This window comes from Homo sapiens, chromosome 2, assembly GCF_000001405.40.
Source record: "Homo sapiens chromosome 2, GRCh38.p14 Primary Assembly".
In the NCBI taxonomy this organism is placed as follows: domain Eukaryota; kingdom Metazoa; phylum Chordata; class Mammalia; order Primates; family Hominidae; genus Homo; species Homo sapiens.
The window spans coordinates 52,078,891-52,105,275 of record NC_000002.12 but is presented as its reverse complement, the minus strand read 5'-3'; the positions used below and the strand labels follow the sequence as shown (position 1 = coordinate 52,105,275).

Below are 26,385 nucleotides of genomic sequence, written 5' to 3'. Positions count from 1 at the left end.
TAGAATGAGTAACTGAATAATTGAATTGAATAATGAGTAATGGAATAGGGAGGAATCACTCCTCCTCAGTTTCTTTTTTTTTTTTTTTTTATGTATAGTTTCAATAGGATTGATACCACACCTTCTTTGTACATCTGGTATAATTTGGCTGTAAATCCATCTGGTCCGGTGCTTTTCTGGTTAGTAAGTTTTTTATTATTACTTATTCAATTTTGTAACTCATTACTGGTCTCTTTAGGGTGTCTTTTTCTTCCAGATTCAATCTTGGGAGGTTGTATATTTCCAGGAATTTATCTATTTCCTCTAGATTTTCTAGTTGTGTGCATAGAGATGTTCATAGTAATCTCTGAGGATCTTTTATATTTCTGCGAGATCAGTTGTAATGTTACCTTTGTCATATCTGATTGTGCTTATTTGGATCTTCTTTTTTTCCTTTGTTTATCTAGCAGTCTATCAATTTTGTTTATCCTTTCAAAAAACAAACTTTTCATTTTGTTGATCCTTTGAATAGTTTTCTTTATCTCAATTTCACTTAGTTCTGTTCTGATTTTAATTCTTTCTTTTCTTCTGCTAGAACTGGGTTCTTCATTTAGAATTTAGTTCTTCTTTCTCTATTTCTTTAGGTGTAATGTTAGGTTGTTAACAAGATATTTCTATTTTCTTGATGTAGGCATTTAGTGCTACAAATCTTATCACTTCTTTTGCAATATCACAGGTTTTGTTACACTGTGTCACAATTTTTGTTTTTTTCAAATAATTTTTTGATTTTTGCCTTAATTTTCTTGCTTTACAAAGGTCATTCAGGATCAATGTGTTTAATTTCCACGTATTTGTGTGGTTTTGAGAATTCCTCTTGGCAGTAATTTCTATTTGCATTTCATTCGACCTGAGAATATGTTGGGTATAATTTTAATTTTTCCAAATTTGTTGAGACTCTCTGACCAAACATGCAGTCATTTTTAAAGTATGTTGTGTCTGCAGATGAGACGAATATATATTCTGTAGTTGTTGGGTGGAGTATTCTTTAGATGTCTATTAAGACCAACTGGGCAAGTGTCAAGTTTAAGTCCAGAATTTCTTTGTTAGTTTTCTGTGTGAAAGTTCTCCTTTAGAGACAAGAAAAATAATGTATGTCAGAAACTTTGATCTATGTAAAGAAAATAAAAACATTAGAAAAAGAATAACTGAAGGTAGAATACCTATAATCTTTCTTATTGTTAGTTGATTTAACACATAACGGTTCATTTTGAATAATAATTGTACTGTATTTCACAATGTATGTATGTGTATGTATGTACATATATACCTATGTATGTATATGTGTAAGTAGTATCAATGACAGCAGCAGTAAAACTAACACATGGATGAATAAATAAATCCAAAAATTAAAAAAATATATATTTTGAACTAAATGAAAACAAGAACACAACTTATCAAAATGTGTGGAATACAGTTAGGGCAGTGTTTACAGGGAAATTTATATAACCTTGAATGCATATAATAGAAAATAAGAAAGATTTAAAATCAAGATAAGCTTCCACCTTATAATACTAGGAAAAAATAGCCAATTAAATTCAAAGTAAGTAGAGGAAAATAAATGATAAAAATCAGAGCAGAATTCAAAAAAATTGAAAATATGAAATCAGTAGAGAAAATCAATACAACAAAAATCTGTTTCTTTGAAAAGATGAATAAAATCAATAAAACTCTAGCAAGGCTAGCAAAGAAGAAAAACAAGGGTACAGATTCCTAATGTCAGCAACAAAAGAGGGAGCATTACTATAGATACTGTAGACATTAAAAGGATAATAAAGGAATACTGTGAATAACTCTATACTCACAAATTTGATAACCTTGATGAAGTGGGCGAATTCCTGGAAAGACACAATCTGACAATATTCGCACAAGAAGAAATAGATAATCTGAATAGGCCTAAGTCTAGCAAAAAAAAAAAAAAAAAAGCTATCGCTAATAATCTTCAAAACCAGGAAGCCCAAGGCCCAGGTGAGTTCACTAGTACATTTTACCACACATTTAAGGAAGAAATTGTATCAGTTCTCTACCACATTTTTCAGAAGTTAGAAGCAAAGAAAATATTTTCTAATTTGTTCTATGAGACCAGTATCACCCTAATACCAAAACATAGAAAAGGAAACTGCCAAATACCAAAACATAGAAAAGAAAACTGCAGAGCAACTCTCCCATGAAGATAAATTTAATATCCTCAATGAAATACTAGCAAAGTGAATGAAAAAAGTTTAAAAGGAATTATAAATCATGACCAAGTGGGATTTATTACAGGTATGCAAGGCAGAAATCAATTAATGTAATACATCACATCAACAGGCTAAATTAAAGAAGAAAAATCACATGATCATATCAATAGATACAGAAAAAAAACTGGAAAAAATCCAATGCTCATTCAGAATAAAATCTCATAGTAAACTAGGAATAGAGGAAAAGTTCCTCAACTAGTTAAAGAATAGGAAAAAAAAAAACCTACAACTAATGTCACAATGGTGAAAACTACAAGTTTTTCCAGTAAGATCAGGAATGAAGCAAAGGATTCCCGCCTCACTAATGATTTTTACAACCACATGAAATGCAAGTTAATGCAATGATGCGATAAAAAGTAAATAAATGGTATATGGATTGTAAAGAAAGAAATTACACTGATTTTTCTTACAAATGACAAATAATCTACGTAGAAAATCTGAAGGAATCAACAAAGAAGCTCTTGAACCTAATAATAATTACAGCAAGTTTGCAGGATAAAAAGTTAATATACAAAAGTCAATTACTTTTCTATTTACCAACAATGGACAGTGAAAATTTAATTCTAAAACACACCGTTTACATTAGCAGCCCAAAATTAAAAATTTAAAGTGTATGTCTATGAAAATATGTATAAGGTCTATATGAGGAAAACTACAATGTTCTAATAAAAAAATCAAATAACTTATAAAATAGACATTGCATGTTTATGGACAGGAAAGCTCTATATTATTAGAAAGTAAATTCTTCTGAACTTAATTTATATACTCAATGTAATTCCAATCAAAATCTCAGTAAGTTATTTTATAAATATTGATAAACTGATTCTAAAGATTATTTAGAGAGGCAAAAGACCCAGAATAGCTGATATTGTTTGGCTCTGTGTCCCACTCAAATCTCTCCCATATGTTATTGGAGGGATGTGGTTGGAGATAACAGAATCATGGGGGTGGTTTCCCCCATACTGTTTGCAGTAGTGAAAAGTCTCAGGAGACCTGATGGTTTGATATGGGGAAACCTGTTTCACTTGGCTCTCATTCTCTCTCTTGCCACCACCATGTGAGACATGCCTTTCACCTTCCAGCATGATTGTGAGACCCCCTTAGCCATGTGGAACTATAAGTCCAATAAACCCCTTTCTTTTGTAAATTGCCCAGGATCAGGTATGTCTTTATTAGCAGCATGAAAATGGACTAATATAATAGCCAACACAATTTGAAGGAGAAGAACATAGTTGGAAGACTGGCACTGCCCAATCTCAAAACTTACTATAATGCTAGAATAATCAAGACAATGTGATATTGGTGAAAGAATAGACAAGGAGATCAATAAAACAGAACAAAGTCCAGAAATAGACCCACATGAATATAGACATGTGATGTTTGACAGTGGAACAAAGGCAATGCAATGGAGAAAATATAATATTTTGATTAAGTGATGCTGGAACAACTTAACATGCAAAAAAAATGAATCTAGACAAAGACCATACATTCTTTACAAAAACTAACTCAAAATAGATTAAAACTTATTTGTCAAATACCAAATTGTAAAACTCCTAGAAGATAATATAGGTGAAAATCTACACAACCAACAGTTTGGTAATGATTCTTTACACACATATATAACATGTAAGAATGAACCATAAAAGAAACAAGAAGCCAAGAAGCTGGAATTCATGGATATTAAAAAATTCTACTCTGTGAAACGCATTATGAAGAGAATTAAAAAAGCAAGAGACTGGGAGAAAATATTTGCAAAATACTATAATCCAAAATATTCAAGGGACACTTAAAACTCAACAGTAAGAAAAGAGGCATTCCTATTTAAAAATGGACCAAAGAGCTTAACAAATATCTCACCAGAGAAAATGTTCGCATGACAAATAATCATATAAAACGGTGTTCCACATTATATGTCCTCAGGAAAATGCAAGCTTGAAAGATCAAAACCCGGAAAACTGACACCAAATTCTGATCAGGATCTGGAACAGCAAGGACTTTCATTTATTGCTGGTGGGAATGCAAAATTGCATAGCCACTTTGTAAGAGTTTGGTGGTTTCTCTCAAAACTAAATATACTCCTGACATATGATCCAGTAACTGTATTCCTTGGTATTAACCCAAAGAAGTTAAAAATGTATTCACATAGAAATGTTTACACAGACGTGTATAGCAGCTTTCTTAATAAATGCCAAAATTAGAAGCAACAAGATGTCCTTCAGAAGGTGAATGGATAAATAAACTGTGATACATTAGCACAATGAAATATTACCTAGGACTACAAGAAACTGAGATATAAAGCCATGAAGACACACGGAGGAGCCACAAACATATATTCTCAAGTAAAATAAGCTAGTCTAAAAAGGCTGTGTATTATGTGATTCCAACTATATGGCATCCTGGAAAAGGCAGAACTATGGAAACAGTGAAAAAATCAATGGTTGCCATGGATTGGGAAGAAAAAGGGATGAATAGACAGAGCACAGAGGATTTTTAGGGCAGTCATAATACTCTGTATAATACTGTAATGGTGAGTATGTGTCAATTATAAATTGTAATGTAAACTGTGGACTAATGTAAACTATGGACTTTGAATGATTAATATAATGTCAATTCAGATTCGTCAGCTGTAACAAGTGTACCACTGTGGTGGGGGATGTTCGTAATGGGAAAGGCAATGCATGTGTTGGGGCATGCAGTATATGGAAAATCTCTGTAAGTTCTTATTTTCTGCCCAATTTTTGTGTGAACCTAAAATTGCTCTAAAATATATATATATTATTTTATTTTAATTTATATATATTTTAATAGACTGTGTGTATGTGTGTGTATATATATACATATGTGTATATATATACATATATATGTGTGTATATATATATAAATGGCCTACACTTTCATCCTAAGACACTAGAAAAAGAAAAGTCAATGAAACTCAAAAAGAAAAGAAGGAAGTAGGTAATAAAATCTTCAGTGGAAATTAATAGAGATTTGATTAGATAACAATGGAAACAATCTAGGAAACTAACAGTTGATTATTTGAAAAGATCAATACAATTGAGAAACCTCTAGTCAGACTGACAAAGAAAAAAATAGAAGACTGACATTACTAAAATCAGAAATGAATGAGAACACATACTAATGATCTTAGAGAAGCGAAAAAAATTTGAGAAATATGAGTAAGTATATGACAACAAATTAGATAACTTAGATTTCCTAGAAAGACACAACTATCAAAGCTGACCTTGGGTGGATACCATGGTTCATGCCTGTAATCCCAAAACTTTGGGAGGCCAGGGTGGGAGGATCACTTGAAGCCAAAGGTTCGAGACCAGCCTCGGCAACATAGTGTGACCTTATCTGTACAAAAAAAAAAAATTATCCAGATGTGATGCATGCCTATAGTCCTAGTTACCCAAGAGGCTGAGGGGGGATGATTGTTTGTACTTAGGAGCTTGAGGTGTCAGTAATCTGGTTATGCCACTGTACTTCAGCCTTGGTGATTGAGATCTTGTCTCTAAAAAAAAAAACTACTGGCCCAGCAAGACATAGAAAATCTGAATGGATATATCACAAGAAAAATGTTATAATTTACATCCATAATATTTCCAATAACAACACAATTCTATGACGAGAAGGCTTCTCTGAGGAGCCTACCAAATATTTAAAGAAGAATTAATACCAATACTTCAAAAGGTCTTTCAAAAGATAGAAGACATAACACTTTCGGTTTATTTTATAAAGCCAGTAATAGCCTCAGACAAGAACCAGACAAATTATTTAGAAGAAACAAAAGCTATTGACCAATAGCTTTTTGAATATAAATCCAAAAATTCTCAACTAACTAATAGCAAGTAAAATCTAGCAATATATAAAAAGAATTACATATAATGATCAAATGGGATTTGTATTAGAAATGCAAGGTCAGTTTAACATGTGAAAATCAAATTAATGTAATATACCACATCAATAAAATAATGGATATAACTCACATGATCATATTAACAGACACAGAAAAAGCAATTGACAAGATATAGCACTCTTTCTTGATAAAAGTCCTCAACAAATTAAGAATGGAAGAGAAGCAGAACTTCATCAGTGTGATAAAGGACATCTACAAAAAAAAAACACTGCTAACGCTTTTCTTAAAAGTGAAAAAAGACATGCTTTCTCTCTAAAATGAGGAGAGGACAAGTATTTGTTTCCAAATTTAATTCAACATTTTTTGGCAGTTCTAGTCAGAGAAATAAATCAAGGAAATGAAATAAAAGGCAGCCAGATTCGAAGGGAAGAAGCAAAACTATGTCTACCTGTAGATTACATATCCTGTATATAATGGAAAATACTAAGGAGTTTATAAAACAAACTGTTAGCACTAATAAATAAATTCAGAAATATTTAAAGATATAAAATCAATGTAAAAATTAATTATATTTCTATAAAGTAGCAATGCATGAACTAAGATAAAATTGAGAAAATTCCACTTATCATGGAATTATAAGAGTAAAATGAAAAAAATACTTAGAAATAAACTTAAAAGAAGCACAAAACTTATACTCTGAAAACTACAGAACATTGTTGAAAAAAAATATAGAACATATAACTAAAATGAAAGACATAGCCAGGCATGGTGGCTCATACCTGTAATCCCAGCACTTTGGGAGGCTAAAGTGAGTGAATCACTTGCGGTCAGGAGTTCAAGACTAGCCTGGTCAACATAGCGAGACCCCGTCTCTACTAAAAATTCAAAAATCTAGCCGGGCATTGTGGCATGCACGTATAATCCCAGCTACTTGGAAGGCTGAGGCAGGAGAATCACTTGAACCCAGAAGGCAGAGGTTGCAGTGTGCCAAGATGGCGCCACTGCACTCCAGCTTGGGTAACAGAGCAAGACTCCATCTCAGAAAAAAAAAAAAAAAAGGAAAGACATTAATGGCAATACTTAATAATAATAAATTACAGATTCAATTCAATTCACGCAAAACCCTAGATTTATTTTTTGCAAGAATTTGGCAAGCCCATCTTAAAATTTCTATGGATATGCAAGCAAGCAAGAACAGCAAAACAATCTTGAAATAAAAAAAACAAGTTGGAGAACTTCCCAATTTCAAAATTCATTAATCAAAACAATGTGGTGTTGGTGTAAGTGTGGAAATATAGATTGATGTAATACAATTTAGTGTCCATAAATAAACACACATTTATGAATAAGCTTTCAAAAGAGTATGAAGCCACCCCCATGTGGTCCCTGGAAGCAACAAACTCTCTCACCATCCCACATTCAGTTTTCACCAATTTTTACCTGTTCTGAGTTTTCGTGCTGGTGTCCCATGTCATTGCATCTTCCTCAGGTAAGCACATGATCATATCCTGTTGCTCCTTGCAAACACTTGTGTCTCCTTAGATCTTAGTCTATTTGATTGCTCTGAGAATCATCTCTCAGATACATTAATCTTTGCTATTTGTCCATCTTTTTTGTTGTTGTATGGGTCTAGATATAACTTTTCAGCTTACTGTGTCTCTGAGCAGAAACCCAAAGTATTATATGATAGTGATATTATTTTAGTTTTCCTTTGTTTTTGTAACAGGCTTTGCTTACCTTAAAAGTGAAAACTTAATCTTAGGTATTTTTATATCTTCAGCAATAAGCATAGGATGAGGTGTATGTAGCCCTTACCCAAAATTTGATTAGTCAAACTGAAGTCAAAGTCAGAAAAGCCTGTAGTTGCGTAATTTGGGGCAGAGTCTTAAGCAACTCGTGGCATCAGGCTCAACGTTCTGTATTTATCCAATAGTATTAGATTTTATTCTATTTCGGCATGGGTGATATCTTCCTTAATCAGACATGTATGCAAAGGTAATTAAATTATTTGAAGGACTCTATCTATTATAGGAAGTATTCTGGAAAAGGCCAAGAATGATGAAAGGTTCTGGCAAAAAATGATTTTATTTAGTCACATTGTAGTCTGCTTTTACCATATATGGTAGCTGTTTTGACTAAATATTAGAACCACTTAGAAAAGTATCAAGATATTGGCTTGGCTCCACCCTAGAAAAACTAAATTAGAATCTCTGGGATTGGGCAATTAAATTATTAAACCTCCCTATGGCCTTCTAATCTGTAGTTAGAAATGATAACTACTGTGGTAATTGGTTTGTATGCTAGAAATAAATATCATCTGTGTTTAATTATTATAAATATAATTTCATCAAAATATGGATGAGTAAAACTATACATTTAACAAAGAAAAAACTAACCATATCATAATATTTTTTAGTCACTAATAAGGTATTTATAAGAATCTTCTGTAAGCTCTGTTCAACCTATGATAATGTTCGATTAACCTGTCTCCTAAAAATTTACTCAATTACAAGACTGTTAACTTCATCTGCACTGATTTAGACCAAGAGAGAGATGGGAGAGTCAACAGGAGTAGGAGAGATGTATAATTAGTCTTGGTAATGTCAGCCTAGTATCTGGTTCCCCAGAGAGCACCTAAACACTATTACTTCTACTCTCATTTAGGTCCTTTAGTCTCAATGACATTCTACAAGTTTCTACATAAATTAGGATAGGTCAATTTTTCCTATGCTAACAAATCAATCCAAAAATGTCACTGAACTCATAAAATAAACATTTATTTCTCACTTGTACAGAGCCTACTGCATATCTGAATGATTTTCTAAAATAACTGTCTTCTATCCTTAGAGTCAGATATCCAAAATTCTGGGGGTGCCATCATCATATTGCTCAATTATTACACATCCATCCATGTGCTTTTGCTATGGTAGACAACCATGCATGGATTTTCTATTCCCTCAGTCCAGAAGTGGTATCTATTCTGCTCATTGCGCATTGGACAATACTAGATAGAGGAGAACACAATATTGACGATTATGAGTAATGTAATCCTCAATTTATTAATTCCAGGTTTCTAATTCACAAGTGAATTATTTTTATTATTGCAATTGAGAATTTAATTCATCATTAGTACACATGTAATCTATCTAATTACATTTATCTAGTGTTTAAGCTTTGTCTCTTATAGATCAAAATAGCATTTGATTATGGCTTCAAATAGAATAAAAATACAGCACTAAAACACTGATACCTAGCTCATCTAAGACATAGTAAAAGACAAATGCAATAATACTCTACCAAAACAAGGTGGTTAACACACCCTCCTTTATAAACATTCAAGCCTAAATCAAGCCTTGCGATATTATAATGTAAGTTACTAGCCAATAAAAGAATCAATTTCTAGATTCTGGTCATTGGTGCCTTTTTATTATAGGTCCCTACCACATACACTTTTGAGGCTCCTGTAAAATGTATGCTGGTTAGGAACACTGGGATTTTTAACCCACTAACTTATTAATGGTGATGTCAAGTAAAATAGGCTAAGTATATTTAATGAAATTGAAATTTTACAATAACTACCCTTATTTCTCATGGGTGCCTACTTTTAGAAAGTTACATTTTTAAGGAATATTAATATTTTCTGAATACTGTGAATTTAAAAATACCATCATATAAATCCTCTCAATATTTTTATACTCTATTATACAATAAAAATCAAACACAAAAAAAATAAGAACATTTGACTAGAAACCAATGTGAAAATAGAAAATAGAAACACAGTTACAAATAGAGTGGAGTTCGCTGGCCAAGAATTAATATGTCACAGATATGAAGGAAAAGGCATAAAAAATAGACTAAAACATAGACGATTGCACCAAAGAATCCAAATGTATATAATATAATAAAATAAAGACTCTGAAGCTGAAAAATACCATTTATGAGTTAGGAACTTTTTATACAGGTTTCATAGCACGTTAAACACGGCAAAAGAAAGAACAAGTAAACTGGGAGAAATATCAAAAAACAATTTTTAAATTGAGCAAAACAAGGAAAATAAATGGAAAATATATAAAACAACACTAAGAATATATGGGTCAGAGTAAAACAGCCTAATATATGTGTACTTGTTGGAGAAAGAATAGAAGAAAAAGATAGTCATCAATAATCTTTGAAGAACTAATATTCAAAATTCAATAAATACACCAGCCCACAGATTCAAAAATTTATGAGAATCCCAACAATAGGCATATAACAATGACTACAAATAAGCAAACGTAATAAAACTACTAAAAGCAAAACAAAACAAAATAAGACTCCTGAAAAGACACACATTACTCTCTTAATAAAAAGACTGATGCCTGAAATTATGAAAGTGAGAATAAAATGGAATAAGACCACTCTAAAATTAAAAAGTGACTTGCCAATTTAGAAGTTTATGCTGAGAAACAAATATCCTTATAAAATAAAGAGAAATAAAAAACTATTCACGCTGAAAAACAAAAAGGAGAGAATGAATGTACCATCAATAGATGCATTCACTATTAGATATATAAAAGGTATTACTATAGACAAAAGAAAATAATCACATAAAAACAGGAAAGATATTAGTGAATGTGATCCAGATTGTCTTACCAATCAACAATTATAGTGGCTTACAGATAAAAATGTATAAAATAAAAGTTAAATAAAATTTGAGAATTGGAGTAAAATGTTCAAAGCTTTAGTATTTTCATAGACATTATGAATAAAATTGTACATAATTATAATGTCAAATATGTATTTTTAACCTTTAAAATAGTAAAATATTTAACACTGTGCATATTAAATTAATGTAAAACAGCTGTATTTTGAAGGAGGCAGAGCAAAGTGGTGGAATAGAAAGCTCTACCAATCATCCCCTGACAAGGACACCAATTTAACAACTATCTACACAGAAAAAAAACACCTTCATAATAGCAAAAAAGCAGGTGAGCACTCATAGTACCTGGTTTTAACTCCGTATCACTGAAAGAGGCACTAAAGAGACAGAGAGAACAGTCTTGAATAGCTGACATACTCCTGCCCATGCCCCTATTCTCCCTGCAGCACTGTCATGGTGCTGAGAGCATCTCTGGGAACTGAGGGAGGAATAACACAGCAATTGTGAGGCATTAAACTCAGCGTTGTCCTCTTAGAGTGGAAAGGAAAACCAGACCAAACTCAGATGATGCCTGCCCACGAAGTGAACATTTAAACCAGCCACAGCCAGACGGGTATTGCAGATCCCAGTGGTCAGAACTCGAGTCCCTGCCAATCTTGCCACTGAGGACTGGATTGCTCTGTGTCTCTAAGTAAACTTGAAAGGAAGTCTAGGCCACAAGGATTGCAACTCTTATGTGTGTCCCAGTGCTGAACTAGGCCTAGAGACAGTGGACTGGGGAGGCATGTGACATACTGAGACACCAGCTGGGGCAGCCAAGGAAGTGCGGGCATCACCCTTTCCCTAACCCCAGGCTGCACAGTTTAGATCTCCAAGAGAGACCCCTTCCTTCCATTTGAGGAGAGAAGAGGGAAGAATGGGGAGGACTTTGTCTTATACCTTGGATACCAGCTCAGTCACAGCAGGATAGGACACCAGTCAGAACCACAAGGCCCCCATTCCAAACCCTAGTCCCAGGTGACATTTCTAGACACCACCATGGGCCAGAAGAGAACCCATTGCTTTGAAGGAAAGGATCCAGTCCTAGCAGCATTCATCATCTGCTAACTGAAGGGCCCTTGGGCCCTGAATAACCAGTAACAATACCCAGGAATTATCCTGAGGGCCTTTGGTGAGCCTCTGAGACTTGCTGGCTTCAGATGAGACTCAGCACATTACCCGTTGTGGTGACTAGAGGAAAAACCATTTCTTCTTGAGAGAAGCAGAGGGGACTTTGCCTTGCACCTTAGGTACTGCAATAGCCATGGTGGGATAGAACATCAAGCAGGCTCTTGGGCTTCCTGATTCCAGGACTTGACTCTTAGACAGTATTTCTGGACATGTCCTGGGCTAGAGGGCAGCCTACTGCCCTTCGGGCGAGTACCAGGCCAGGCAGCATTCACCACAAGGTGACTTAAGAGCCTTTGGACCTTAAGGTAGTATCAGCAGTAATCCGGCAGTACTGCTCATAGCCATGGGGTGGTGGCTATGGGGTCAGTCTCCTCTGCTTTTGGAAATGGGAGGAAAGAGTAAGAAGGACTGTATCTTGTGGTTTGAGTGCCAGCTCAGTCGCAGTACAAGAGAACACCAGACGGACTTCTAAGGTCTTTGACTCTAGTCCCTGACTCTCAGATGGCACCTCTAGATCCACCTGGGGCCTGGGAGACCTTGCCACCTGAAGGGAAGAACACAAGCCTGGCTGGCTTTGCCAGTGGCTGATTGCAGAGCCCCAGGGCCTTGAGCAAACACAGGCAGTATCCAGGGAGAGGTTACAGTAGGCCTTGGGTGAGACTCACAGCTGTCCTGGCTTTAGGCCTGACCCAGAACAGTTATAGTGGTGGTGGCCACAGGGGTACTTGTGTCACTCCACCCCCAGCCTAAGGTGGCTCGGAAGAGAGGAAGAGACTTCATTTTAGAGAAAGTAAGGGAAAAGAACAAGAATCTCTGCCTGATAATCCAAAGAATTATCCTAGATCTTGTCCAAGACCATCAAGGTAGTACCTCTATGAGTGCAAGAACTAGAGCATTTCTGGACTTGGGGTACCCCCTAAAAACAGATACAGCTTAGATTACAACACGAAAGTCCTTTTCCAGAAAGCCTTCCTGAGAAAGATGGATACAAATAAAACCAGACTGTGTAGACTACAATAAATAACTAACTCCTCAATGCCCAGACACAGAAGAACACCTCCTAGCATCAACACAATTCAGGAAAACACGACCTGACCAAATGAACTAAATAAGGCACCAGGGACCAATTCTGGAGAAAAAGAGATATGTAACCTTTCAGACAGATAAATGAAAATAGCTGCGTTGAGTAAATTCAAAGAATTTCAAGATAACACAGAGAAGGCATTCAGACTTCTACCTTTTTTCACGAAGAGACTGAAATAATTAAAAAGATTCACACAAAAATTCTGGAGCTGAAAAATGCAACTGGCATATGAAGAATGCATCAGAGTCATCTAATAGCAGAATTAATCAAGCAAAAGGAAGAACTAGTGTGTGTGAAGACAAGGTATTTGAAAACATACAGTCAGATGAGACAAAAGAAGAGAGAATAAAAGACAATGAATTCTGCCTACAGAATCTAGAAAGTAGCCTCAAAAAGCATATCTAAGAGTCATTAGCTTTAAAGAGAAGGTCAAGAAATAAATAGAAGTAAAAGTTTATATAAAGGGATAATAACAGAGAACTTCCCAAAACTAGAGAAAGTTATCAGTATCCAAGTACAAGAAGGTTATGGAACATCAAGCAGATTTAACCCAAAGAAGACTACCACAATGCATTTAACAATCAAACTCCCAAAGGTCAAACATAAAGAAAGGATTCTAAAGGCGGCAAGAGAGAAGAAACAAATAACATGCAATGGAGCTCCAATATGTCTGGCACAGTCTTTTCAGTGGGAAACTTACAGGCCAGAAGAGAGTAGCAGGACATATCTAAAGTGCTGAAGGAAAAAAAAAAATGCCCTAGAATAGTATATCTGGTGAAAATATTCTTTGACCATGAAAGAGAAATAAAGATCTTCCTAGAAAAACAAAAGCTGAGAGGTTTCATCCATGCTAGACCTGTTCTAAGTAAACAATAAAGGGAGTAATTCAATCAGAAAGAATAGGGCATTAACGAGCAATAACAAATCACTTAAAGGTATAAACCTCACTGACAATAGTAAGTACACAGAGATACACAAAGTATTATAACATTGTAACTGTGGTGTATGAACTACTCTGATCCTAAGTAGAAAGACTAAATGATGAACCAATCAAAAATAACTACATACGATCACATACAATCACATAAAACATCTAGTCCAAAAAGACAAAAGTATTTATTTAATGAGTACAGAAGATATATTTTTATGTGTCTTAGATCATGCAGCAAATCTAAACAAAAATTCAAAGAATAAAATTATATTTAGATGTTTTCTGACTGTAGAAAATTAAACTAGAAATAAATGAGGAAAAGATAATTAGAAAGTCTCCAACTGTTAGAAATTAAGCAACACAATCCCAAACAACCCATGGGTCAAAGAAGAAATCGCAATAGAAATTGGAAAATATTTTAAGCAAAAAGATAATGAGGACACAGCATATGAATGTTTGTGGGAAATAGCAACATCAATGTCTAGGGAGGAATTTATATTCTTACATGCATATATTAGGAAAGAACAAAAATTGAAAATTAATGATTTAAGCTTCCATCTCAAGACGCTAGGAAATGTAGAGCAAATCAAACAAACAAAGGTAAACAGAAGAAAATAATAGAGATAAGATAATTTAATGAAAGAGAAAATGCACAAAAGAGTACATTAAAACAAGAAAGAGGTGATTCTTTGAAAATATGAATAATCTTAGTCAAATGCTAGCAAGACTGATCAAGGAAAACACAGAACATTTACAAGTTACCGACATCAGAAATATGATGAAATATCACTCCATATTTCATATTTTTATCCCTGAAGACATGAAGATAGAAACAAAGATTACTGATACTTTAACTATTTGACAATTTTAAGAAAATAACTCCTTGAATAGTATATTCCAAGATTGACACATGAAAAGAAAATCTGAACAGCCCTACAAATATTTTTAAACATATAATCTATTATTAAAACCCTCCCCAGAAAAAAGATTGCTTCACTAGAAATGTCTTTCAAACATTTAAGAAAGAAATCAAGCCAAACTTAGAATAGTCATCCTGATTTTATGTGTATGTGCATGTGTGTAGTAATTTTAAGAGATCTGTGTAAGGTTGAAAGTAAAATCTAACCAGAATCATTAATTTTTTTCTCATGTAGTTCTCCTATCTTTTGTCTTTTTACTTGAATATTTTAATAATAATTACATAAAAGTCATAGTCAGTGAAGTACATTATCTAGATCATGTGTAGGCGGGTATGTAGCTATCATCTGATGACCCTCTTGATTTTTTTTTCTTAATCTCATTACTCTCGACATGCCTACATTTTTTTTTCTAGCCATGTTCTGTGCAAAATGTAGAGGCCCAAGCAGATGCTGTTTTTCAACCAGGGGAAGTTTACTTTTTCCTTTCTAGGTGGATAGACTGGCAAACAAATCAATTTATTCCATTCTTGGATGAAGTTTAGTGGAGGCAGTGTTGCAGTTTTATGAAGATTTAGTCTACTTCTTACTCCATTCCTGAGACATAGATTTTAAAATTTTAAATTTAGAATTCAGTGAATTCACCAGGACTGCTCCAGTGTCTTACCACCACCACCACGAGGGTACTTTGGAAAACTCTTTTCTTCTTTTCAGAATGTTCAGCTCCCAACTCATACAGCTTCAGAATTTGGCTAATGTCTTAATAGAGAAATTGACTGAAACCATACAAGTCTCCAAAGTTGTCTCTTTTGTACCGATGTCTGTTTCTTTGGCCTACTGACTTTTTTGACAGCGTATGAACTAAGAAGTATTTTTACATTTTAAATAGTTCAGGGATAAAATATTTCATAAAATGTGAAATTTTATGACACTTAAATTTCACTAGTTTTATTGGAACATAAACACATTCACTTACATACTATCTAGGACAAATTTCACTACAATGGCAGAATTGAGTAGTTGACACAGACACTATGTAACCGCAAAGCTGAAAATGTTTACCTGTGTCCCTTAACAGAGGTAAGGGACCTCTTCTAAGGTTTTTTTTTTTTTTTTTAAATACACCATTTTCTGCTCTAGTATATAAGACTACCAAAACTTCTGCTAGTTTCTGTATCACTTAGTGTGGCCTTCTGCCCAGGAAAAGTCCAGACACTCATAGAATATTTATAGGATAAACTATGTCTTCAAATTGTAAATTCACCACTCTCTTGTTCCTTCACTCCATGATGTTTATCTATCAAAGGCTTTTTGCTTCAAAAATGCTATGATTTCTTTAAACAGGGTTTTCTTTTTCTATTTTAACTATGATTTTTTACTTAATCTACTTTTTTCCTGACAAAAGCAGTCATATATCACAAATTACTCCATTCTATTTTAAAGTGGTAGATAATCATCACTTGCAAGAGCTGGATTATTGATGTATGTTATTTTGCTTTTTATAAGAGGTATCTAGAAAAAAAGAGGCAGATAAAACTGAAGATATTGTAGGGCATCAGAGAATTTCTGGGTTAAAAGGAACCAATAAAGCCTTCCAGTTTAAACCCTTATTTTGTAGTTTAATAAATCCTGACTTAGAAGTTTAAGAAGTTTGTTATAACTGACCTTAAGATTTTGATTGTCAGGATTAGAATCCTAACCTTCTGAATCCAGAAGCCTTCCCTTTGCTTCCCTGTGTCCTTTATGTGACCTTCACTGTACTATAACAGGCTCATGTGTCTATAGCTTTAGTTTGTGTGGTAGGCTGTGCTTGTTTGTATGCCTTCCAGGAGTTGTGTATATTTATATTACTGTTATTGACACAATTAGGTGATACCCTCATACTTGAGTTATTGAACGTTATCTTTCAAATTTTTTCTTTCTGAGAAAGAATATTGTTTTTATGCCTTCTTAGGTAAAATAAAATAACCAAGGATATTTTTAAGTCAGCTCAAATTTATCCAAAGTAATTTAAATATTATTTTTGAAGTAAAAATATAAGTCATTTTAAAAATAGGGTTAATGAGAAAAATGCCAACAGTTTCATAGTGCTAGTGTCACCACAATCTGGCTCTTTATTCAAAGCACCAATTAAGTAAAAAAGTTACATTTAGCTTGTCAAAAAATATTTTTTTAAGTTAGCTTTTTAATATTTTTTTTGCATAGCCTATCTCTTAATATCAAATCACTTATCTTTATACCTGCTAATGTCGTTTGTTATCATAGACAGAATGACACATTCTATATAAAATACAGTGGACATAATAAAATAAATTCGTTATTGTAGAAGCTCATCAATAAATTGAATCAAGACTGAAGCACACCAAATGTGTCTTATATCTAACCTTTTTATTAGCAATAAATGATATTTACCAAAAGTACTGAGTTGAATGTATTTTAGCAGTATTATATTTTCTGTACAGGTATATCAGACTATTATTTATGACATATTTAGAAATTTATTTATATTTAGAAATGCATTCAACTTTCTAAGTTTTCCATGAAATCTTTTGGGATTAAATATCCTAGCTTTACGTCTTCCATTATGACAGTGTATTGTAAGAGGACAAAACTCAGGAATAGGCATAATTTTAAAACATTTATTCAGTAGTATTCTCACTTCTATTGACCTTAAGAATCTTAAAAATATGTACTATTTAAAGAAGAGTTTTTAGATTTAGCCAAACATTTCTCAGTTTTCATAGTAATACTCTTTTACTCCAGAGATTAGCATAATAGGAGCATGGGACAATTTAGACAACAATCGATAATTTTCCATTATTTGTCACTTCCATTGTATTTACTTGTTATTAAACTATTATTAAAGCAGAACAGCCTCTCAATATTTGGATTTTTACAAAGATATATAATAAAAACTTTTGGGTAGTTTAAATAAATTTTGTTTATTTCCTATAAAAATTTGTGGAGTCTACAAGTGCCCAGTATTTGGAAAGAAAAAATATTAAACTTCCTGTTTATTATCGGTCTTCCTGGAACTGGAAAGGATAAGAGAAATGAAGCAGAATGCAAATATGATCCAAGAGAGTTCTCAAAAGTAATGTAAAATAAGCAAATATAGGTAAAAATTTAGAGAAAAAATGTAAATTATTCTATTTATTTGGAATTTAGTAAATTATTTCCCACAGCCAAAATCATAGTTTAAATATCAATAAAATACTTTTTGTTAATATGACTTCACTGGTAAATAACCTAATACCAGGTTGAATATGCATACAATAAAGTTTCATTGGCAGTTTAACTGGATAAATGAATGATGCAAAATTATGAAGAATAAGATATAATATACTGGAAGGAAAAAGAAGGGGTTAGTATTGTAATAAGGAAACACTTAGTGGTTTTGAATTTTGTGAAACATTTTCAGTGACTGGGAGGTATGTTTATAATTCAGAAAATGACAAATATGCTACAATAAAAAATAAAGATCAAATATTAGCAATTCAATATATCTAAGTTTTATTCCTTGCTTATGTCATCTTCCCCATGTGTATTTGTTGCAAACTCACTATTTCTATATTAGGAGAGATAAGGCACAACAAACAGCCAAGAGACGTATTTATTAGGAGCAGAGAAAACAAAACAAAACATAAAAAACCTCTGGTATTTAGTTAAGAAAGACCACATGGACTATGATAGTCTGAGAAGCCTCCATTGTTAATTAGTAGGTTAATAGATTTGTATTTGGCACCATAAATAACAGAGAACAGACTCTTTAAAAAAGTCAAATAAAAAATATTAACAAATGCTAACTGTACACACAATTGTTTTATTGCATTTTGCTTTATTGTGCTTTGCAGATATGGTCTTTTTTTTTTTTTTTTTTTTTTTTTTTACAAATTAAAGGTTTGTAGCAACCCCACATCAAGCATACGTATCAGCAGATTTTTCCAACACCATGTGCTAACTTCATGTTTCTGTGTCACATTTGAGTAACACTTGCAATATTTCATTACTTGTCATTATTATTACATCTTTTCTGGTTGTGACCAGAGATTTTGGTAGTACTACTGTAATTGCTGTGGGGTGCCACAAACTGTACCCATATTAGACAGCACGCTTAATTGATAAACATATCTGTTGTCACTATTCCTCTGACCAGCCATTTCCCCACCTCCTTCCCGTCCTTGGGCTTTCCTATTTCCTGAGATACAACAATATTGAAATTACGTAGTTAATAACTCTACAATGGCCTCCAAGTATTCAACTAAAAGGAAGAGTTGCATACATTCCACTTTAAATCAAAAGCTACAAATGATTAAGCTTAGTGAGAAAGGCATCTTGAAAGCCCAGATAGGCCTGAAGCTAGGCCTCCAATACCAAACAGTTAGCCATGTTATGAATGCAAATGAAAAGTTCTTGAAGGAAATTAAAAGTGTTACTTCAGTGAACATGTGAATGACAAGAAAGTGAAACAGCTTTATTGCTGACATGTAGAAAGTTTTAGTGATCTGGATAGAAGATTTAGCCAGCCACAACATTCCCTTAAGCCAAAGGACAATCCAGACCAAGATCCTAACACTTCAATTATATAAAGGCTGAGAGTGGTGAGGAAACTGCAGAAGAAAAGTTTGAAGCTAACATAGGTTAGTTCATGAAGTTTAAGGAAATAAACTGTTTTCATAATATAAAAGTGCAAAGTGAAGCCCCAAGTGCTCATGTAGAAATTAAAGCAAGTTATCCAGAAGATCTAGCTAAGATCATTGATGAAGAAGGCTACATTAAACAAATTTTCAGTGTAGATGAAACAGCCCTGTATGGAAAGAAGATGCCATCCGGGATTCATAGCTAGAGAGGAGAGGTGCATGGTTTCCAAGCTTCAAAGAACGAGCTGACTCACTGGTTAGGGGCTAAAGTAGCTGGTGACTTTAAGTTTATTGAGTTATTTAAGTGATTTTAAATAAACCCATTTGCATTTACTAATCCAAAAATCTTAGGGCCCTTAATAATTATGCTAAACCCACTCTTTCTGCGCCCTATAAATGCAACAATGAAGTGTGGTTGACAGCATATATGTTTATATTATGGTTTACTGAATAATTTTAATCCACTCTTGAGATATACTGCTCAGCAAAAAAATTTCCTTTCAAAATATTACTGCATACTGAAATTGCACCTGGTCACCACAGAGCTCTGATGGAGATGTACAAATTAAATGTTGTTCCATGCCAGCTAACACTATATCCATTCTTTAGCCCATGGATAAAGGAATAATTTTGACTTTCAAGTCTTATTATTTAAGAAAGACATTTCGTAAGGCTATAGCTGCCAGAGATAGTGATTTCTCTAATGGATCTAGGTGAAGTCACTTGAAATCTTTCTGGAAAGAATCCACCATTCTTGATGTCATTAAGAGCATTCATGATTCATGGAAGAAGGTCAAAATAGCAACATTACCAGGAGTTTGGAAGAAGTTCATTGCAACCCTCTTGCATGACTTTGAGGGGTTCAAAACCTCAAAGGAGGAAGTAACTGTAGATGTGGTGAAAATAGCAGGAGAATTTTAATTAGAAGTAGAGGCTGAAGATGTGACTGAATTGTTGCAATCTCATGATAAAACTTGAACAGATAAGTAGTTGCTTCTTATGGATAAACAAAGAAAGTGGTTCCTTGAGACAAAATCTATTCTTAGTGAAGATTCTGTGAACATTGTTGAAAGGACAACAAATAATTTAAAATATTACTTAAACTTAGTTGATAAAACAGCAGCATGGGTTCAGAAAAGGGACTCCAATTTTAAAAGAAGTTTTCTTGTGGATAAAATGCTATCAAACAGCACTGCATGTTATAGTGAAATCTGTAATGAAAGGCAGAGTCAGTAGATAGGGCAAACTTCATTGCTGTCCTATTTTCAGAAATTGTCACAGACACCCCAAACTTCAACAACCACCTCCCTGATCAGTCAGCAGCCATCCAAATTGAGGCAAATAATATTGCTGAGAAAATTTTTTAAAAACCACACACACACACACGAGAAAAGTCTATATTATTTTGTGACTAAAGATGTCCAGGACTTGATAATATATTTAATTTTAAAGAAGAGAAAATTAGAAACACAGATCAACAATATACATTTTAGGGATTGAAAATGTATATTAGTATGTTTATACATAAGCACAAAGAGCAAGACAAACAACTTTTGAAATAAATGCATTTGAAAAACTTCATCCTCGGTGAAAATCATCTCAAAGTAGAAGTAAGGTGAAATAAACGGGTCTTCTCTGTACCTTGAATAACAATGTGTAATTAAGGGTGACATAATTTTATATTCATGGAAGCCATTTTTCTTCGAAATTTACTTATACTCTCAGATATGTTAGAAAGGTAATGAGACTTGTAATGTGGCCTTTAAAATGCACAGTGTGACTGGCATAGTTTAAACATAACGTTTAGTTGCAATATCACCCCAAATTATCCTAGCAAGTAGAGCTGAGGCAAACTACCAATTTTGTCTCCACATGTATTCTAGATACCAAAAAATGGGTAAATTGGATTTGTTTGTGCTCTCCTTTTTGCTCATCTTTATGAGCAATGAAATTGTATAGATGGAGACTTCAGTTCACAGAGAAGAAAGCTGCAGGAGTTAGCACCTCCCAGGGAAATACAGACTGCAAATGGATCCAGCAGTCACCATGCTGAAGAAGGTGGGGGTGGGAGGTAGTTATTTTAAGCAGCAAGCTCCAAGTGTCTAAACTCTAGTGGGGGGAAGGAAAAACCCATGAATAGTGCATGTCCTAGAAAAGATTAATTTGGCTCTTCAAACAGTTGTTACTCAAAAGGTTACCAATAGGTTTCCAAGACTTAATAAGGTATGATTTTATAGTTTTCTATCAGTGTAACTGTATGATCTTCAACAAGTCACTTAACCTCTCTGTGCCTCAGATTTTTTCCTCTGCAAAGTGGAGATAATGTCTAAAGATCAAAGAGTAAGTCAGAAGATCACAGTAGGTCTCTTCAGAATTTAGGATGTGTGGTTCTATGATTCACAAAGGCTTCTACCTTTGTAGTCCTCAAAGAACTATTAACTATAATGAGTCACCCCTGTAACCTTTAAAATTATGGCCACTTACCTCCTACCTGTATGTTTAACATTATTCTAGATTCTCAGCTAGCTCTGCTCCAACCTGGGGCTAATTTAAGAAATCCTTGATCAGTAATGGCTAAGAGCTAAGTACCTAACTATCAGGGTGGTTTAAGGATTAAATGTATTAATGCATTAAAGTTCTTAACCTAGTGCACCACATACACTAATTGTTCAATAAGTGCTAGTGTTAGTGGGTGTGTTGATGGTTATCATTAAAATGGCCATTTTGCTCATTGTGTTGTCAATCTTTTTGATGATCCACTCCAACTTAATACACTAATTTCATGATGCAGTGATAAGTGTCCTAACTTTCTTTTGACCAGGCTCCAACTGTGCATTATAATTCCATCAACTTTGCTTCTCTTTTGTTCTTTGGTCTCATTTCCTGTGCTCCATCATAAGCTTCACTCACCAGTCCCTCTGTGCCCCAGTGCCTCACCTCTCTCACTACACCTCACTAGCTTTTTTGAGGTCTCCAATGGAGCTGCTAAAGAGCACACTTCTTGCCTAAGTTCTGAAGAATTTAGGAAATAAAATAGAGGTGAAAATATCAAATTTCACATGGATTAAACAGATGTTAGAGAGTGCAGGTTTAGGTAAGAGATCAGTGGACTTCCCCACACTGAACTTCAGTACTAGGCAACCAGGTGGGGATGGCTGCTGCTAGAGGAAAATAAATTACAGAGGACGGCAGTCTGGGGCTGAGCCTAGATGCCCAGGTTTTCCCATACATTTTCTAATTGAATAAGTGAATAAAGGTTTGGAAAGAGATTAGCTAGATGTATCCTTAATGTAAAAAGTCCCTCCCCAGGAGAACTTCAGTGGTAAAGGAGTAATAGTTTTATGGGCCAGACTCTCTCCTGATTGTATTTTCTAGACTGTGAGAGGTGATCTCTAGATCTTGGTCTTGTTTGGACTAAAGCCTATGATAGTTATTAAAATATTTTATATTTAATTTGGGGTAGTAGTAAGAGAGCGATATAAACCCTCTATAAAACCTTTACTTTTTAATGGAGTTCTACATTAGAGTAGATGGGATACAAGTTTGTGTTCACAATACAAATTTAGCAAGCATAATATTTAGTATTAATGAAAAAGAGACTGGTGAGAGATGCTGCAAATGCACCATCCTCTCTTAAAACAAAATAAAAAACACTAATTTTAAAAGCCTACCTGTATCCATACATAAAGGCAGTGAATAAGCAAGATAATATTCTCTGGCATAGACATTAATTTATTATGTTATATTTCCTGACGTTACGATCGTCTCCTCTAAAATATATGAGCTAGGTGTCATTTTTGCTGGTTCTTTGTCACAGTTTGGTGCCCTCTAAGAACTGTTTTCCATTGTATAAGATAGTGCTGCTAGTCATCATCAAGCACTTTCAGGATCTTAATTCATTAAAATATTTTAATTGGGATAAAAAATATTTCATTTTGAAGTGTGTCCTAAGGGTTCCACGGGGACCAGCAGCAAGCAATAAACTAACAGAAAAGGAACTAAACATAGTGTCAAACAGTGAAACAATTAAATAAATTACGTGGGCTTCATCTCTGGTAATTATGAGTTAGAAAAATAGAACAGAAAATCTGATGGCACTTGCTTTTTTTGCTTTCTCCTTTTAAAATCTTAGTGGTTTGTGTGGTGGTGGTAACAGCATGTATGGGAAAGGCGAAGACCAACTCTGTCTTAATAACTATACTTTTAAGCATGTTTTCTGTCATTACCAGTGTGTTCCAGAGGCAAGCAGAACTCTTGCTGATCTATAACAAAATAGGCAGCCTTCACTGAATATTTATACTGAGCAAGTCATGTGCTAAGCAGTTTGCATGGGATATGCCATTTCATCTTTCAGCTATTCTATAATTTACGCACCATTATTATCCTCATTTTACAAGATAAATTTTTTAAAACTTAGGTTTAAAAAGATTGTATATCTCATACAAGAACACATGGCTACAAATAATTAGAGCTAGGAATTTTAACTGTTCTCTGACTCCTTAGTCCATCCCCAAAGCCACTGAATTCCAAATTATTCACTATAGGAAGGATTATACACAGATATTGATAAATAAGTACATACATAAATATGATGTGTTGATTCAATATTTATTATTTTTTGTTTTTATTTTTACTGCTATGGATATATAATAAATCTGGATAGTGGCTCTAACTGGTTCAGTTGTATTTACAAAAGTAACAAAATAAGTTCTTGGGGCATGCCCTGTTTCTTTCTTCTCTTTCACTTTCTGACATCATTCTTGTCTTAATCTCTAGGTGGCTAATATCCTCATGCCATATGCAAAGTATCCACAGCTGACTATTGTGTCCCATAACAGTCTTCCTTTAAGTCCTGGTTTTCCCGTCTTGCCCTACACTCCTTTAAGCATTAGTCTTGCCCTTTGATTGATGCTACTTTTTGAAGCTCAAAGCAAAACAAACAAATTATCAATTAATGTGGCCACAGAAATTGCTGAGAAGTAACGGCATAACGTCTTCAGGGTATTTGTATTTTAAAAGTGAAGTCTATCACATCAAATGATACTTTTAGGATGGGGAGTTGGGAAAACACTCGTATTGTTTCCTTATTTCTAAACTCAGGAGAGAGGGGTTATCAGTTACGGTGACTATGTAAAAAGCATTAGGAATGCAGGTTTTTGAGTTGCATCTTCATTTTGTAATGTTGATGAGACATGTAAATAGACATTTTAAATATGTGACATTACATTTACCTTTTCTTTAAACTAGGGATTATTCTAGATGCTATCTTCTCTCATATTCACTTTTTCTCCAGTGACTATTTGGTATTTTGCATGTGAAATTTGCTAATTTCTGGGTGAAAATATAATAGTATCTTTAGGATAAAAGATATTTAAATTTTGCCTAAAACTCAAGAAAAAATATTCGTAAGCATACCTTTTCCATGGCAGAGTTAGCTTCCGATATCATTAGAGGTCTTGGAAAAAAAAAAAAAGGTACAGTCTGTTTGAAATACTGAGGCTCTGTCAGTTTATACTGGCTATGAAAATGACCACCAAGCTTAAATTAAGCAACAATCATATATTTGACTTTTTTCCCATGAGAACCTCATTTCTTCTCTCAGGGTAGTATTGAATATATTCAGTAATGGCAGCCTTTTCCTACCTTGTCTATGGAATAGAAGGGCAAAACAAAACAATGAAGACCTGTGAAACAAAGGTAGCAAAGAATGAAAGTGAATTCAATTTAGGTCTGGTAGGCTTGAAAATTTATTTGCAAAGTTTGATTTTAATAATATTAACTTCTATTTTCTTTATCAAAGATGAACATTTTTACTTCCATGCTTTCAGATAACATCTATGACACTGATCCATTCCAGCAAGCATTTTATTCTGGCACTCTTGATAGCACAGATAGAGGAGACTCAAAAGACTGACAGAAGACCCCAGGTAAGCCTGTGCAAAAATTATCTCTAAAATGTCTATTGTGTAATATGACAAAAAGACTATAGTGACAAGCACAGAACGTACACAGTCAGTCTTGGGATGAAGGCAACAAAGATGTTTCTCTATATTTATAAATGCATAGATGCTGAATATACTACACATTAAGTATACACGATGAATATGTGATGAATTACTCTTAAAACCTGTTTCAATAGTCAATTTTTTGATCAGAGTTTGTCTGTATCTATATCTTAAACCACATTAATCTTGTAGGATCATTCAAGCTATTTATACTACTTCCATACCTTCAAATAGAACAAATTACTCTCTCCACAGATTTGAAGTATCAAACATTTATTCTGACACATTCATGTTTATTACTTTAAACCTTAAAATGATAAAATATGAGTAAGCCTTTTACATTCATTTCTTAGTAGAGAGAGGAAAATTTTACACTAGCCTCAATTACTCACAGAATAATTTCCCCTATTTTGGTTCAATACTATCATTAGAAAAATAAATGTGAGTGTGTGTATGCGTGTGTGTGTGTGTGTTATGGTTCTGTGGAGATAGCTCGTAATTGAGAAGAAAAAAGAGCATTTTTTATCCACAGTCTCCCTAACAACAGTGGATTTTTCAGCATTTGTTTACTTAATGAGAGGTCAGTTATCTCCATTTCCACGTGCCTTCAATTTAATTTATTCAATTCAGTGGTGAGCACAAGTATGTAGCCCCATTATTTTATAATATCACTGTTTGTTGCAACCATTTCCTGCCACTAAGTATACACAAAAGAAGAATGATTATCATCCAAACTATTGTTATGTTGATGTAGGATGGATTAAACAAAAAAAACTCTAAAAATATTAAGGCAGATTGGAAGAATACAGAAGGACCAATTGTAAATGAAAACAATCGGTATTTGTTGCTGCAATGATTATTATT

General features: G+C 33.8%; 2 long non-coding RNA genes across 2 annotated transcripts in view, besides 1 other annotated feature; both read right to left on the bottom strand.

The window, feature by feature from the left end:
• NRXN1-DT (NRXN1 divergent transcript) overlaps positions 1-26,385 on the bottom strand; it is a 1,375,317-nt gene that overhangs the window by 302,642 nt on the left and 1,046,290 nt on the right. The window lies entirely within an intron of this gene.
• On the bottom strand, positions 173-25,195 carry LOC124907767 (uncharacterized). The gene is made up of 2 exons (XR_007086319.1): positions 24,932-25,195; positions 173-1,106 (listed from the first exon to the last, which is right to left on the bottom strand). It is a non-coding gene; the product is annotated as an uncharacterized LOC124907767 (long non-coding RNA).
• Positions 21,229-22,428: an enhancer, noted in NCBI's record as "CDK7 strongly-dependent group 2 enhancer chr2:52309986-52311185 (GRCh37/hg19 assembly coordinates)". NCBI's record gives its function as "activates an origin of replication core promoter dependent on BRD2, BRD4, P300/CBP, MED14 and CDK7 cofactors, with strong dependence on CDK7, by STARR-seq in HCT116 cells {active_cell/tissue: HCT116}" and the evidence as "EXISTENCE:reporter gene assay evidence [ECO:0000049][PMID:35650434]".